Consider the following 17593-nt stretch of genomic DNA (forward strand, 5'->3'; position numbering starts at 1 on the left):
ACTGTATATGTGTGGGTTTATTTCTGGGCTTTGCATTCTGTTCCAGTGGTCTATGTGTCTGTTTTTATGCCAGTACCCTGTTTTTAGGCTACTATAGCTTTGTAGCGTATTTTGAAGTCAGGCAATGTGATGCTCCCAGGTATATTTATTTTGTTCAAGATTGCTTTGACTATTAGGGGTCTTTTTTGTGTTCCATACAAATTTTAGAATTGTTTTTTCTTATTCTGTGGAGAATGTCATTTGTAATTTGATAGGGATTGCACTGTGTCTGTAAATTGCTTTGAGTAATATGGATATTTTAACAATATTAATTATTCCAATCCATGAACATAGAATATTTTTCATTTATTTGTGTCTTCTTCAATTCTTTCATCAGCGTTTTATAGTAGTCAGAATATAGGTCTCCCCACTCTTTGGTTAAATTTATTCCTTTTTTTGTAGCTATTGTATATGGTATTATTTTCTTGATTCCTTTTTCTGATAGTTCTGTGGTAGTATATAGAAATACTATGCATTTTGTATGTTAATTTTGTATTCTGAAGCTTTACTAAAGTTGTTTATTAGTTCTAATGGTATTTTAGTGAAGTATTTAGGGTTTTCTATGCACACTCTATATGATTCTATATATATTTTCTGTCATTCACAAACAGGGACAATTTAAGTTTGCCCCTTCCAAGTTTGATGCCTTTTATTTCTTTCTCTAATTGCCCAATTCCTCTGGCTACTAATAACACTCTGCCTGGGATTTTCTAGTACTCTCCTTCAGTATTCATCAGGTCTCAGTCCAAGTGTTACCTCATTAGAAAAAGATTCTCCATCTAATTCAATTAGAAAAAAAAATTCATCTAATTGAATTACCATATAATTCAAAATAACCTCCCAATTCAATCTCTATCCCTTCATTCTTTAAAATTTTCCTTACATCTCTTATCATTCTTTTGCTCACTTTTCTGTTCTCTTGTATACGCTCTTCTTGTATCCCATCTTCCTCTACATTGTAAACTTGATGAGGACAATACCTTCACTGCATGCCTTGTTCGTTATTGTGCCCCGAATACCGAGTCCATGGTTGGCACACAATAAATATTTGTTTAACTAAAGCATAGCTTGTATTTAGGGGAAGTTAAGCCAGTTATTGGATAGATGCCATGCCACTGGCAATATTTCAATGTAATATCTGAAGGTAAGATTGCATCTGCAATATCATATTATTCTCTAAAAATCTGAACAAAGAGATCCTTTGATGATGATTTTATTCATAAATGTTTGTTTTCTTCTCCACCAGTACTGGGACAGAAATTTGCATATAATTGGCACTCCATTAAAATTGCTTGCATTATTTCAGCCTAGGGTAAATACATGGTAGCTGTAATAAAACCTCTCAACCACAACATAATCCGAATAGAACCAACCTTCAGAGATAGAGGAAGATGATCCCAATTGTCTAGTGATTGCAAAATTATATTAACCTTAGGTAAAGTCCATTGTGTATAAATTATGGTAGAAGCTTAGTGCAGGAGAATGAACAATAGTTTTAGTGTCAGAAAATGTGAGTTAAATTCCCAGCTTACCTTATTACTGGACCTATGACTTGAGGAAGTTTTGTGGGTTTTTTCTCTTTTGTTTATGTCTCTGAACTTTGGTTTCCTGAATAGGATAGAGCCGAATATTTAGGTGACATTAGTGAAAAGGGAAAATGTGAGGGGGATGCATAATCACATTTGGGAAACTGTGGATATTCTTAGAACAGAAAAAAATAGATTAGTGAGGTTTTGAATCTTTCCACTTATCTTGGTAAGGATTATATGCCAAAGACTAGTTATTGTGGCCATACTCTTTTTCCATTAGTGGCATTGGAGAACCAGAAACATGGGATCCAAAGAGAAGCTTAGCAATGTTAAGTCATGTTAATACTAATTTAATTTTTGTTTGCCACCCTACCCCCACCAAAAAAAAAAAAAAAAGGTTATAATGTGATTGTCACGACAGCATGGGGCTGTACTGAGCTTTTTGTCATGATATTAAATAGGCTTCTCTGTTAGAAAAAGATTTCTGGTCTAAGGACCCAAGTAGATCATATAAACAGAAGTGTGCTGTTATGGTGGAGGCATATTCATGTTGGTTCTGCATTCACAGTGAACATTTGTACCCAACTCCTAAGACCTACTAGAGATCAAATGTGTTTAAATTGAGTGTACTCAGATAGAAAGATATTCTGAAATTTCTCAGCTCTTTTCTCTATATTGTTGAAAATTATCTTTTACAATGCAAAGCCTCTTTAACTTGTAAAATATATTATTATACTTTGCTTTGAGTAATGTGCAAGTTAATGTCCCTCCCATTCCAATCATAACAGTCCCTCAGCCAACTGTAAAAGATGCTTTAATGATTATTTTCTTTACTTAATGTCTTTTTTCATCTAGGGTTAGACAAGTAGAGCTGGAGTGCCTTGCCTATGCGCTATCGTTCGTTTTAAAGATTCTTGGGGAGTTAAAAATAAAAGAAATTTAGAAAAAAGAAAGTTGAAAGTTAAATGACTGTATTAACATAGTACTAACCAGTAAATTAAGAGTGCAATGAAATAAAACAAAATTTCAAATTCAAAATGGCTTATGTCATGAAACCCTTAAGGTATTTTAAATTTTCACTGTATACAAAATTGTACAATTAGCAAGGAACAATGTGCTAATGGGTTTTAAATATTCATTTTAGGCTTATAGTTTTCAGTTTATACATTTTTTGGAGAGCTTCAATACATAAATACCACAACAATTCATTTAAAATGGTATTTTTTAGTTTCCTAAATGATTTGGATGCCCAAGTCTCTTTCTATAAAAGAATTTCTTAGTATAATAATTAGGCAATAGTTCAATTCATTCCAAATGCCTAGTAAAATTTCTCCTAACTATTAATTATATCTTAATAAAAGCTTCCAAGCGAACCAAAATTTTTTTGTTTCAAAGGGTTATAATTTTACTGATCGTATAAAAAGAAGCTAAGTTAAAGACAGCAAACCTACTGGGTAAATGGAATTCTGATCTCATTCTCTTTTTGCCTAAGTGTGCCAGAGAAAGAGTGAAAATGATGAGATTGGTGTTAAGGAAAATGTTTTTATTTGTGGGCACATGATGGATTTCTCTTGATCTTTTCCATTTTGCTGTCTTTTCCTCCTGGATTCTGACAGTACTAAATATTCTGGTACCATTCTATCCACCTCCAGCTCATTAATCAAACTCTAAGTTTCATAAGTTTAGAGGTTGTTTATTATTCTTTCAGTATCTCCAACAGTATATGTAACATATCTATTATTTAGCTACTTGACACTTAAATAAATATGTATATGTGCACATGTGTATACATGTATTTACATATGTGCACATGTGTGTATGTGTATTGTATAATAATAGAAAATTTTCTGGTCTTTGTCCCAGATTCCTGGGATAGAACTTCTAAACCCCAGACATTTCTTAAGGGAGAGGAGTATTTGTGTTGTTCATGATAGTCTCTGGGTTTATGCTTATAAGGTCACTTATGGTGGACTTTTAGATAGCTTATGTTAACAAGATAGCTCAGCATGAAGGCAGACTATGCCAGAAAAACCAACCATGTAATTAGAAGGTTGGTGCTTTGAACCAGATGATATCAGTTCAACCTCTGGGCAAGAGAGATGGATTGGAGATTGAGTTAAATCCTGTGCAATCGCACTGCATAGCAAGACTCCAGTAAAAACTCTGGACACTGGGGCTCAGATGAGCTTCTTGGTTGGGGACACATCAATGTGCTGGGAGGGTGACATGGTCCTGATTCCATGGAGAGAGGGCCTTCAAGACCCTCCTAGACCTCTTCCTCTGGCATCTAAAATGAGAGCAGTCTTGTTGGGGACTATGCCCTTGATCTGTGGGATCTGCACTAACTCTGGGAAGTTACTGACATAGTTGACTTGCAGTATTAGATAATCTGTGTTAAATATGTGTGTTAAAATATATGAATATTTCTATCTTAGAGTCGCTAATTAATAGTGGCAGCAAAGATTCTCAATCCTTATGGTTTGGAAAAGAGATTTACACCTTTACCATGAAGTGCTTTTATTGTCTTGCCCAATCTCAGAACAAAACCAATACACAGTTAGCACTATTAATCCCCTCGGAAAACTATTCTTCTGGGGTTTGAGGAAGGCTTTTAAGAGGTTTTACTACCCTATGTCTGATAAAATACTAGATAAAGACTGCATGCACAGGTTTAAAACTTGAACAGATTTTTTGGGAAAATAAGAAGGGCTTAACCATGATTTCTATTTTGTCCTTCCTATGTCCTCTTCCATTTTATGGCTTAGGTTTATTAATTTCCCCTACCTTTTCTCCATATAATTTCCTTTTCCAAAGAATGGACATTACATGCTCATTTTCACTAACATGTAAACAATGAATGGTGCTTTAGTTGTTCTCCTCCCTCTGAGCAGAGTTCTTTTTCATTCCCTTATCAATATGTCAAGAAGCCCCACTTTCTATTTTGACTCTACAAAATTGTTTCTCATAACATAGTTGGATGAAACAGGCCTGCCTCCTGTGAACTCTGTCTCCTTTGTTCTCTTTATAAAAGTAGGAAAACAGTTTATTATGTCAGACACTCTTTTAAATGCTTTGTATGTATTAGGTCTTTTTAATCTTCAACAAACCAGGAGGTAGGTGCTATGTTAATCTTCACTTTATAGATGATTTTGTGAGACACAATGAGTTAAAAGCATTTACTCGAGAAAATTTAGCTAGTAGGTGACAGAACCAAGATTGCAATCAAGGTTATTTGATTCTGAAGTCCATACTCATAAATTATTGAGCTATGCTGCCTCACATAAAATGCTTCTCGGTGCTGGAGAACTGTGTTCTTGTTCTATCCTAGGAAGAGAAGTTTGTGAAACATTTGAAAAAATTTCTCCTATTTCCACAGTCTTATTTCTCAGGACTTTCCCATATGTTCCCTCTTTCTACTATATTGAATTCTTGGTTATTTCCTAAATGCCAGCTACTTTTTGCAACTTCCCACTTGCTTTTTTCTCTGCTTGAAGGGCCCTTCTCTATTTCTCTTTGTCACTTACTTCTACTCATTCTTCAAGTCAGCTTCAAGCTTTCCATAAAGCCCAGTATGGGGAAGTAACCATTTCTCTGTCTCTCATCAGTATCCACATACTTTTATTTGGGCACTTACCATAATCTGTGGTGACCCTTCCTTACTTCTGTTTACCTCAGAAGACTGAAACCAACCTGATAGAGGTCTTTTATCTTACATTTCTCTATCTCTAGTCCTAGCACAAATTTGAGAACCTAATAACTATTCATTAAAAGTTTGTAAACCAGAGAACAAATTAATAAAACCAGATAATAACATTGCAATATTTCTGAAACCAAGGTTTGTAACCAAAGATTTTTAATTTTTTTATATCCTAAGAGGTTCTAGGTATTGCAAAAACAAAACAATACTATTGTGAACTTACTTAATTGCATCTGAAATTTTATCTTAATCCCAGACATTGGCTTAAGGTTACAGTGAAAGAAAAAGTAGGTAAATAATTTCATCGCCTTACCCACCCTTTCGTGTTTTTAACACTTCAAACATACACCCAAACACACAAAAACACATACATATTGCCATGTGTATACTATGGATATATATACTTCGTGTGTGTGTGTGTGTGTGTGTGTGTGTGTGTGCTTGTGTATGTATATATTTCCTCATTCCCCTGCGTGGAAAGTGACAAAGTATACTATCATTTAAAATTACTTTCTTAACATCATGATAAAATCAAAATAAACTGTCACTTTTAAAGCTTTGTAATTTTATACCCCATCATCTTAACAGCTATGATTCACAGAGTTTTGAGAGTTTTTAAATAATGACTTAATCTTTGATTTTGAAATTCAGAAAAAAAATCAAAAGGAATGGATGTATTCATGATTGCAAAAGAACAATTTTATTTATGAAAATACTAACATTTATCTCTGTCTGTATATCTTGAGATCTCTCAGGATGTATGACTCTGTTTTGCAGAATAAAAGCCTTTGCTGTATGATATGAGTGAACTATTCTAATAATGAAAGAAAATCCATGCTAACCTTAAATCTGTATAACTGCATAGCACTGACCAGGAAAAGCCAACTTGAAAGGTACTGCTTATAGAAGCATGTCAGCCCCTATTTTATGGTGGATCCTGTCACTTTTCTCAGGAGAGATGTCTGGATCAGTGTGCTAAGTACTCTCCTGTTTCTAAAAATTCCCAAAGAATGTCTAAAATCAGTAGTTCACAGTTTATGTAGATCATAATACAACTGACATCTGTAAGCTGTAGAAATAGATACACACTGACATGGCTAAAAAGTACCTGCTGTTTCTGTGAAGAGAGGCCGAAGTTTTCTCTAGGAAACGTACTACATAGATAGTGATTAGTATTCCTCTAGATACCTCTGGCTTATCACAGTTGATATTCTCTTATTATGCCTTCTTCATTGGGGTACAATTCAGATTTTATGTAAATGCATACCAACAGGGATATTACTTTACTTCAAATTTGAGTTTGGTTATAGACCAATGGTTATATAATGTTACTACTTCACTAATTTTATAAGTTGCTAATAACTTTCTATGTTTATGTAGTATTTACATAATGGATGGAGGTTATCTGCCAATAGAAAACAACAAATGCCATCAGGACTTAGTTGATAGTGAATCCTGTGGTAAGAGCTTTACATGTGATTGTTCGTAAGTTCTTATTTCAATTAACAGGATGAGTTTAATGAGATTACAAAACTTGTCAACTTACCTGGGACCACACAGCTAGTAAGTGGCAAAGCCAAGGTTCAAATCCAGGACTTGCTAATTCCAGTGCCCATAGTCATCATTGTTATGTAAAACTACCTTCTTTACTGCAGATATGGAAAGGCTTTATACTACAAAACAGTAAATAACAGGGAATTAATGATGGCTGCACTGTAGAGAAACTTTTTTTTTAATGTTTTGAATTGCACTCGATCAGATAGTTGGTTTTTATTTGCCAAAGACCAGTATGATTTACAAATTCCTCCCTATTATTTCAAAGAAAACACAGTGTGATTTCCAAAGGTAAGGATACAATCATTTCTGGGAAATACTAGCTGGCATTTGCAGAGAATAATTTTGAAGAATACACACTTTCTTGAACACTGGTGTGGCCTAGGTCTGGGTAGTAGAAAACTAGGAATAACAGTAGCTAATATTTCAGATCTGCGATCAATGAAGTGAAAATCTAAACATGGGCAAAATGATGACAGAGACCAAAAATTATGTATAAAAACTGTGATAATAAGGAAGTGGTGACCAGAATACAAATTGGAACCATACGGATCATTGAAGCACGTTCATGAATAGTGCAAAACTATGATGATGAAAAATGATTTAAATGGAGCAATGACAGATGATTTTGTTATCCTATATTGGCAAGGGATTAAAATTAACACCTGAATTTAACTGTATTAAATATTTTCAGCTTCTGATTATATATATGTGTGTCTACACATATGGGTTATATGTATGTGTCTACACATACTTGGCTACAAAACTGAAATTTGTCCTTCAAGTTAGACCCTTACCCTTAGTGTGCCCCAAATCTACCTGCAGCCTCCTGTGGAAAAATGGCCAGAGTTTTCTCTAGGATGTTATATAGCTAGTGATGAATTTTTGCTTCAAAGACCTTAGCTTACTGCATATTGTCTGGTAAGCTGCTTATCATTCCTTTCAAAATATAGTTTCAAACACTGTCAATGAAGTATTTCTAATGTGACCGTAAAGTATGAAAGAAAAGATCCTTTTCAGTTATTGTTAATCTATACTGGGAGGGTCCGGGTGACAAATGCAGAACAATAACATGCTCAGATGAAACAGACCAGGAAAATGAACCCCTTACTAACAGGGAACACATCAAGGCCCATTCCTGTCTTGGAATTAGGCTAGTTAGTTTACACTGCATCATGTATTTGGCTCCATATAACAATTGCTGTTGGCGCCCACCAGAATCTCTAACTCATTTTTATTTCATCTAACCGTAAAACTATTGATTAATACATTTGTTATTAATCAATGAAAAAATGGTTTATCTTCTGTGTACCTTCTAGTCCTCCCCTGCATTTCTCTCCCTCAACTCTCAACAACTCATCTGCTTTTAGGATATTTTATGAGACTCTAGTTCAGTTTTCACACAGTACTCTTCAGTTTGGCTCATCCATTCCTTTTTGTGGAGACTCCTTCCTATCTTCCCCTTTTCTTCATTGTTGGTAATTTATTTCTAGGTCCTGTCCTCATCTATCCTAGTAGCAAATTTCAACAGAAACTTAGTTCTTTTTATGTTTGATCATGTTAAATTTTTGTTTATAAATCAAGGGTATTTTAATAATAGGTCAAATATCTAACTATAAACATCTAAATATACAAAATAAGAATTAGAAAATGTTCATGTTTGTTTAATAATATTACTACTAGTAGTATTAAATTGTGATTCCTAGAGCATCCTTAGCAGCACAAAAGTGATTTAAAAGGAAAAAATAATTTTAATGTCATTTCCTTGTAGCACTTCTGCCTTATTTTTAAAAGACTTTAAAGAATAACTGCCAATGAATTTAATAATATCAAAGCCTATCTTGTTCAACCACATATGGAAAAAAAATACTAAAAATGAAATTTGACTGAGGAGTCAAGCAATTTTATGATGTTCTTCTTCTATTAGGTACCAGCATGTTATGAAGAATAAGCAAGAAGAAAGAGAAGGAGAAGAAGCAGGAGGAGGAGGAGAGAAGGAAAGGGAGGAGGAGGAGGAGAAAAAGATGGTGGTAGAGGAGGAGGAGAAGAAGAAGAAGGAGGAGAAGGAGAAGGAGAAGAAGGAGCAGGAGGAGGAGGAAGAAGAAGAAGAGGAGAAGGGAACTCACATGTAAGTTACAGGTATTTTTGTATTCATGTTATACATTAAAGAAGCTGAAATTAAACAAACACCAAACCTGTATTCACCATATAATATCCTTACTTTCCTTTTAGTCTCTGCTGTAATTTCTCTGCACTTTTCAATCATTTAATTCGCTATCAGAATCATGAACTCACCATTTTGCCTAAGTCAATTTTGTTAAAGTTGTATTCATCTAGTCAGATTTCCTGTAGGTTAATGTTGAGTGTATATCTATCCTTTACTGTCTTAGTATAAGTCATTATTTGCACAGCTACCTATGATTTTGCCATTTGGGTTATGACGAAAAGGTTAGTTCCAAGTTCTATGAGGAATAAAGTTCTAATGGCCTACTTCTATTATTACATTAAGAGGTATGGAAACTGACTATGCAGTTTTCATAAACTCATTTAATGAGAATGAAAATATTCATCATTAAGGTCATTGAAAGAAAACAGTATAAAGTAAAAGCTTCTGAATAGACAGAAGCCACAAAATTCCCAAATTATACTCTTTAGAAATTTTTAACTATACATTATTTTAGTGTCTCTGAAAATTTTAAAATACCCCTTTTTCATGTTTTATATTCATCCCTGTAACATTTTCAAACAATAACATATTTTATAAAACAAATAGCCACTGTGAAACAAAAATACTTTCTAGTTTTTATTTTCTATATTTAGATGGAAAAAGAGTAAACTTTTTGCTATGATTATAATTTCTTCATTTGCAGTTATTGATGAATAATAATTATCACTTTAGTTTTATACTTAATTGGCATATCACATTGGGTAACCGACTTTCTAAGTCAACCATCCAAAAGCCAACTTAATGTTAGCTACAAAACTATCTGATTGAAGTTCATGGAGTTTTAAAAACCATTAACTTTTATGTGCAGAGTGAAAACTTTGCTCCACTGGCACATAATTTCATTTTTATAGTCAGGAGATAACAATAACATGAAAACATTACTGCCAATGGAAATATGCCTCATGAAAAGTAAAAAGTAAAAGAATATGAAAGATTAGTTATTTTGAGATAGGTGGCTTTGTATATGTTATAGAAAGCAAGAACAAAAATGAATCTACCCTAGGTGATTGGATGACCATGGCACTTGAGGATAATACATAGAATATAATTTTTACTAAAAAAGTACAATGGTCAAAGCATTCAAAGTTTTTCTCAATAATGCACTTGAAAATTCTCTGTTCTGTCATCCATTGATATGAAATGGTGAAAAGAGGACTTTAAAAAAGAATAGCTAATTTCCTGAATAATAGATGGAACTTAACGTTATGTGAACCAACGTTGACAGTAGTGTCTAAATTAATAGTTAGCAAAGTGTTTCCTGTTCTTCACTGATCTTTGCAATTATCTGCACCAGATCATTTACTCTTATTACAGCTTTTTACAGCTTCTTTCCATGCCATTGGGGACATTTTCCTCCTCAAGTTGTCTCCAGAAAATTAACTTTGTACAGCAAAGCCCTTTAGAATTATTATTATTTTTTTCCAGATTTTTATGCATGAAAATAATATACTGCTGAAAACTATTATTGGTTCTCAACATTTTCTTATATTGTGTTTTTAAAAGTCCCACTATTAGATAATTTTTTAATTCTTTGGTACTGTTACACAGGGTAGGAAGAATCCTTCTGAGGTATTTATTAGCAGTGATATAAATACCTGATCCAAATTTATCAGTGCTAAGGGTTTTACAGATATTTTAAATAATGAATTGTGTATAGTGCTTTCCTTTTCACTAATCCCTTCAGGTATATTATCTCATTTGATCTCCTGAGCAGCTATGAATATCAATTTTGTTATTTACAGGTGAGAAAGTGGAGGTTTGAAGAGATTAAGTGACTTGCTCAAGTTCACACAATTTATAAGTAGTTCAATTATAAAGCATTTATCAGGCATATGCTATATAACAGGTAGTTTTCTAACTCATTAGGATATTGCAAACAATTTTTTAAGTACCTACACTTGCAGGATTAATCACAAATGTGCAAACAGGCAGGTAGAGTCTCAAATATGTACAATGTAAAATATATTCAAACAACAAAAGTATAGAGATGTAACTAATTGTACTTCTTGCAAGGGTCAGGGACTACTTTATAGAGTGGTTGGTGCCTGAATTACATTTTGTTTGGTAAATATGAGTTTGTCAGATAAATGAAGGGAGAAATGTACCAAAGTAGATTTTGTAACCTACAATCTAACATACTCTTTACTATATAACATCACCTCTATACCATGCTATATTGATTTTCTATTGATAGTATAAAATTATTACTATAAAATTTAGTGGCTTAAACAACACACATTTTTATCTTACATTTCTTTAGTTCAGAAATTTGAAATGTGTCTCATTGGGCTAAAATCAACATGTCATCTAGGCTGTCTTCCTTTTTGGAGGCACTAGGAAAAACTCAATGTCCTTATTCTTTTCCACCTTCCAAAGAGGATTCACATTCCTTGGTTCGTGGCTCCCTTCTCCCATTTTCAAAGCCAGCAACAGTGGATTGAGATTTAATGTCCCATCCCACCGACCCTGCTTTAGTTGCCGTCACATCTCTTTCTCTGAATACAGGCAAGAAATGTTCTCAACTTTTAAGAAGTCATGTCATTATACTGGGCCAACCTGGATTGTTTAGGAAAATATCCCCATTTCAAGGTCCTTAACCTTAATTACAGCTGCAAAGTCCCTTTTGTCTTGTAATATATTCACAGATTCCAGGGATTAGAAAATGGACATATTTGGGGGGTGGGAATTATTCTGCCGAATACACGTGCCATTTGTAATCTTAAATTATTTCTTGTCTCGCATGGATTTAAGCAGACTTTCTTACCTGTAAGAACTAGATTATTATACTGATGATGTTACGTATTTTGCCTATGACACGTCAAAAAAGAGGGGTGAGGAAAGCTCACATTTTTACACCATTTTCTATGATCTTAGAGATGTCATTTTTTAAATATGCAGTTTTAGAAAAATTCAAAAAGATGAAGAAGAGGTTTGATCATTCTGTATGAGCTCATTGACTCAGGTACTAAATATCTTTCTTGTTTGCCATGCTACTATTTCCCAATAACTAAAAAACCTTTATCTTTAGCTTAGAAATTTCTCCTCATCAATCCAAATACCTATTGATCTACAGGACTCTCAAACACAAAACACTTCATGCTGGCCTATTATCTATACTCTTTTTCTACTTCTACTCTTTCTGTTCTGCTCCCAACATCAGAGAAGGGCAAAAGTATCCCATCAATTGCAAGAACCATAATCCTGGAAGTCATCTTATCTACAGTTTCAAACAAAAACCAACCAAATGCTAGAAATTTTACCAACTAAACATTTATTAAATCAGTCCATATTTCTCTATACCTATTGGCATATCCTTAATTCATAATCTCCTATTTTGGTTATATAACAAATCACTAATTAGACCCTTTGTCTCAAGCTTCTCTCCTACTTCTCTCTATTTAAGCATCCAGGCTACAGCCAGAGGATTCATTCTAAAATAAAAACTCACTTTATTAACTGTCCTACTTCAAAACCCTGTAATGGCTGACTATTCTCTCTAGATAAATACCCAACTTCCAAAATACCCTGGATAATTTTAATTTCCCTTAGTGCCCTGTACTCTTTCTCGCTGTCTGCTCTTTGTTCATATTATCTCTTATTACTCCCTTATCCTCTTCTTTCTTCTGCTCCAAACATATTTCTTGCTCTTTATTATGAAATTTAAATTATCACCTCCTCTAGGGAACTCTTCCTCTTCCCCACAGCTAGGCTCTGCTTTACTTCCTTGGGGAAGAAAATGCATTGGATTAAAAATGAGAAAGAAAGGAACATTTATTGAGACATTATATGCTAAGATTTTGTCCTATATGCTTTAAATATAATATACGCTAAGTCATTTGAAAAGTTTTGTGAAGTGGTTATTAGAGAATTTACAAATAGAAAAGCTATATGGTATGTGAAAATGCAGAATGGAGTAATCTGGGAAAAGCTAGCTGGCTATGGAGACACATAAGTTGACCTTGATTCTTATGTCTTCATAGTCAGGGCTTGCCTTTCATTCATGCAGTCTTATAAAGTTTCATCAGGTTTCCCAATTGGATCAGATTCAGAGATGCTATCTCACACTAATAAAGTTCTTATGAAAATCATATAGAAATAATTTAATTTACTGAGATATTTTTCTCAGTACTCAAACTACTATGGGAAGTCACATCAGCAAAGCTTTGTTTGGTACACACTAGAAAAGAAATAGTTGTTAAGACTTAAATGCTCAATGCTTCAAGCAACCCTGTCCATTTTTACACTTGCTTATTTGTCCAGAGAATCAAATGTTTAGGTCAGCCTGACAAAGTGCCTCTTACCCTGGGCAATGCATGAATGGTCATTGCTGAAAATTGCCTAGGTCTCTTATTTTTCCGTGTCTTTGGACTGACCAACCTAAAACCAAGGAAGTGTTCTCATTCTTTAGATGTTATTGATAATTATCACAGGGTCTCTCTGAGTACAGAAATAACTTCACTATTGTTCAGTTCTGATGCATTTTTTTCAGATTGTAATTTGAAGAAGGCAGGTTTGTTTGCTTTATTAATATCTTCCATGGAGCTCTGCATTATTCCATCTTATCCTGTAACTCTTTAAGTTTCAACTCTAGGTGTTAATAATTCTGTTTTACAGTTGGATAATTTATGCTTGAGTTTAGTAACTTTTCTTAAGTAAGAGGTGGCATTCAAAGAGAGTTCCTCTGACTCCAGAGCCCTTGCTCTTTCAAGCTTTGCTCGCCAGTCTTAGCTCTGTTTCTAAGTAAATGTTTGCCATTGGCAGATCACTAACTGCCCTCTGTCCCACCTTGCTTATCAGAAGGGTGAGATGTTGCTCTAAATTATTTATAAAATCTCTTCCAGCTTGATTTATTAATAAAAGGCAGTATTATTTCCCTGCTTTCCTAAGTCTACCAAGTAATCTCTTTCACAATGCAAAGCAGAAATATGCTATGAACTAAATTCCCATTCCAGCTGCCCAGATACTGGCATAAGGTTGACTAAAGTCGTATTTTTCAGTATTGTGAGCTTTCATCTTTTTTTTCTTCTTTATGGTTAATTTAATGAGAGGTTGGTTGGTCCCATTTCTTATACAGGAAAGAGATTAGGGTTTGGATAGCTCCTTGAGCTGCTTTTTAATTATCTCAGATTTCACATTTTTAAAGAAGAAATGGCTGTAACTTATTCAAGAGGAATAAAATTCTGTGATGTACATTATAACTATAGTAGATCAAAGGCCTCATTTTTTGCACTGTGCAGGTGTAGAATTTCTGTGACAGAGGAGGATCCACGATAGGCAGTAAAAAAGGGAAAACAAAATTACATTGGTTTCACACATTTGCTTTGCAACATCTGTTTAGGTGGAAAGCATTTTGCCTGTCGATTTATTGAGGAGTTTGTTCATGACAAGCCATGTCTGTCTATTTCCCTCGTTATTTTGAAAGCTTTGAGTCCAAAGGGATTGAAGTAGCCTGGCTAAATTGCACTGATGCCAGTAAATAGTGACTTTGTATCAGGGGCAGAGTGAGCATCTGCTTTTCTTAGAATGCTGGAGCAAGTGTGATATCTGGGGACAGAGAGGTAGAATTGGACTGACAGCTTAGTTTTTCTGCTGCCCTGAATTTACTAAAGTTAGCTGTGAAAATAGCCCAACTTAATCAATGTAGGCCAGTTTGTCATATCATTGTTTCCTGTGACATTGGCTGTTCATCAACACCTGAGACCTCAGTCAGTCAGTGCTTCCTCCCCACAGTTCACGCACACATAGCTGATGGACTACCACCTTCACACAGAGATCTCTTAAATAAAAATTTAACCTAACTTTAAAGTCCTATATTGACAAAAAGACCATATAGCTGTTCTGCTAACAATTCTGGATATCTTCAGCATCCAGCGAGTAACTTTTTTCCCTTAGGGAGAATGAAAGGGAAGTAGGAAGGATTTTTGTTACTGGTTAACAAAAAGTCAAATTACTATTTTACAGCAGTAACCACCATAAACAGAAACAAACAAACAAACAAACAAAAACCCAGAATTTAACAATCCCTTGCACTCCTAGCATCCAACCCATCATTTTACAAATCACTTTGAGACCAGGAGTGGGTGAACCAATTGTAAAGGAACCCCAGCCATCATATATTATACTTGGTATAATATACCATGTATATTACAAATGATTCATAGTAGCTAAAATCCGTTTTTTAGAAAAGCATAGCTGTGTACATCTTGAGATGCAAGACCAACACTGAAAAATTCTGAGTGATATTTCTTTCCCCCCCACCATGGTTTAAGACAAAGGAACTGGGAGTAGAAAGAAGTAGTGCCAATTTTAATTATTGTCATAAAGTCAATAGCAAACTTCAGCAAAATTATCATCTCAAAGATGTGTTTTGGACGTGTTCTTCTCTGTATCCTATCTTCAAACATATTTGGAAGCACTATTTATCCTTACTAGGTCTTCAGAGGGGAGCCTGGAAACTACCTGATTCTTTGTAGAAATAGAATCTGACCTTATTGCTTCCCAATCAAAGAGTGACCATTATCTTGAACCCAGTTGGAAAGCTGATTACTTTATTTTCTTAAATCAGTGGGTACACTGTACTCAGATGCCTTTATTTTATTGCTTGTCTAGTTTTCCAGATGTCTTACTAATGCATAGGCAAATGTGTTCAATAGATTCAGTGAAGTTTACATGCTTTCCAGAGAGATACTTAACTGAGTCAGTTACTGGGCATAATGTGTCATACCCTGGGTCTTTGAAATGTGTTATCACAGATACTCTAAGTCAGGAATTAGTTGTTTAGCTCAATTGCTTCCAAATATACAACATTCTATTTGTGTAACATAAATAGCAAGCACAGCGGGCAAAACAGAGAGACTAATTGAGAAGCCCTTATGTTTAGGACAAATTCTATCAATGCAGGTGTATGGTATATTAAAGAGAGATGAAAGTTTTGCTTAGCCTAGTCACTTGTATCAAACATATTTTTTTTTCTATCACAATGCTGGATCTCTTTAGAGAATTATTTATTTGCTCACAAAATCTTGTCAAAATTGGGTATCAGTGAAATGAATATAATTATTAACTCTGAAAGTTAACCCATTTCTGCCTGAGGTTGCAATTCTTTGAATTTTTGCAATCAGACCTTGGCGATGGCCTTGAGCAGTAGGATATAAATAATTCCCACATGCTTAATGTTCCAATAATGGAACACTAGGCATAAATGGCTACTCCTGCTGGGTTTATTCCAAAAGTTGCATCAATAAAAAGCATTTCGGGGAGGGGTCACCAGTAAATAAGTTGAAAAAAATAGTAGAAACATAATCCTAGATATAGAGAAAGAAAGAAAATATGAGTGGGGAAGGGTTTTTGGAAATGTCTATACTTCTCTACAGTCAAAAAACATTCATCCCCTACTTTAAATAAAACTTCCTGCTTCCCATAATTTGCATATTCTACTATTCAGCTTTGCCACTGAGAAGCTAATATTTTGTAAAGAGTTTCTTTATTAATTTTGGGCTTTTGATATAATAATCTCATATTTGCTGAATACGTTTACTCTTAAATGACAGTTTTGTCATTGTTGTTGACCTGAAGCAGGGTGTATTTTTAATGGGAGATGTGAAGAAAAATGGAATAGAGGCAAAAAAGTTATTACCCAGTTACCATTTTTAGAAAGTCATTTTAAGTAGTTGGAAAGCAATTCTATTTGTTCCTTCATTCACTGATGAGAAGATCTCCATAGTGAGGAAGTTGTGAGAGGGAGGGATTAAAATTAGGCAACTATTTTACAAAACAATACTTGCGTGTCACTTTGCTCAGTAATGTCTTTTTAGCCATGTGGATTTTTAGTTCATCAAGTCTAATTCTCTTGTATCCTTTATTGCAGGCTACCTGTGTGAGTCACATGTCAGTGCAATTTCTGGAGGTCAATTGTAGCCCTGAAGTCTCAGAACAATGGCAAAAAGAAATACGGAGGGCATGATACATTTGGTAAGTGCCTTATGTAAACCACAGAAAATGATAGAGGCAATTTTTTTCTTTCCTAAGGCTGGTGATTTATTGCATACTTCTTGTCACGGAATAGATAACATAGGAGGACAGGAAGAAATTTGCTAGTTTACACAGTGCCCCCTGAAAATAATTCATCGAATTGGGCTCCTTTGGAAACATTCACATATTCTGCATGTATTTTTACCAGACACATTTAGCATCGTAATGGCATAATAAAAGCTATCATTTGGGAAATATACACATTGCTCCTATCTGAGTGCACAGTGGTGTTGGTAGGTACTGAGGGAGGAAGAGACACATGTGCCCTGAGGAAGTCTCTGTTTTGTCTCCATGCACATTTAAGTCTTTTACACATTTGAGAAGGGACTGGGAGAGGAGCATGGGGGAAGGGGGCTGGATGTGGCTGGCATCTTCTAAGATTTATGAACTGCTAAATTTAGAAATGTCATTTTGTTATTGCCAGTGAACTGCTAGCATCTTCGTATGAGTCACTAAGAAAAAATAGCAATCACCTCCTTTGCAAGAGCTAGTATGAGTAACACAAGATGGGTTCAA

At 34.5% G+C, this 17593-nt stretch overlaps 2 long non-coding RNA genes across 2 annotated transcripts in view; one reads left to right on the forward strand and one right to left on the reverse strand.

The window, feature by feature from the left end:
* Positions 1 to 17593, forward strand: part of LINC01239 (long intergenic non-protein coding RNA 1239) — a 178014-nt gene that overhangs the window by 19497 nt on the left and 140924 nt on the right. The window contains exons 2-3 of the long non-coding RNA NR_038977.1: positions 8747 to 8947; positions 16914 to 17017. This is a non-coding gene — a long non-coding RNA (long intergenic non-protein coding RNA 1239). The remainder of the gene's footprint in view (positions 1 to 8746; positions 8948 to 16913; positions 17018 to 17593) is intronic.
* Positions 690 to 17593, reverse strand: part of LOC107987054 (LINE-1 retrotransposable element ORF2 protein-like) — a 40372-nt gene continuing 23468 nt past the window's right edge. Inside the window, exons 2-3 of the long non-coding RNA XR_001746635.2 lie at positions 6812 to 6938; positions 690 to 1647 (exon numbers count right to left, since the gene is read on the reverse strand). This is a non-coding gene — a long non-coding RNA (LINE-1 retrotransposable element ORF2 protein-like). The remainder of the gene's footprint in view (positions 1648 to 6811; positions 6939 to 17593) is intronic.

Source organism: Homo sapiens, chromosome 9, assembly GCF_000001405.40.
Source record: "Homo sapiens chromosome 9, GRCh38.p14 Primary Assembly".
In the NCBI taxonomy this organism is placed as follows: Eukaryota; Metazoa; Chordata; class Mammalia; order Primates; family Hominidae; genus Homo; species Homo sapiens.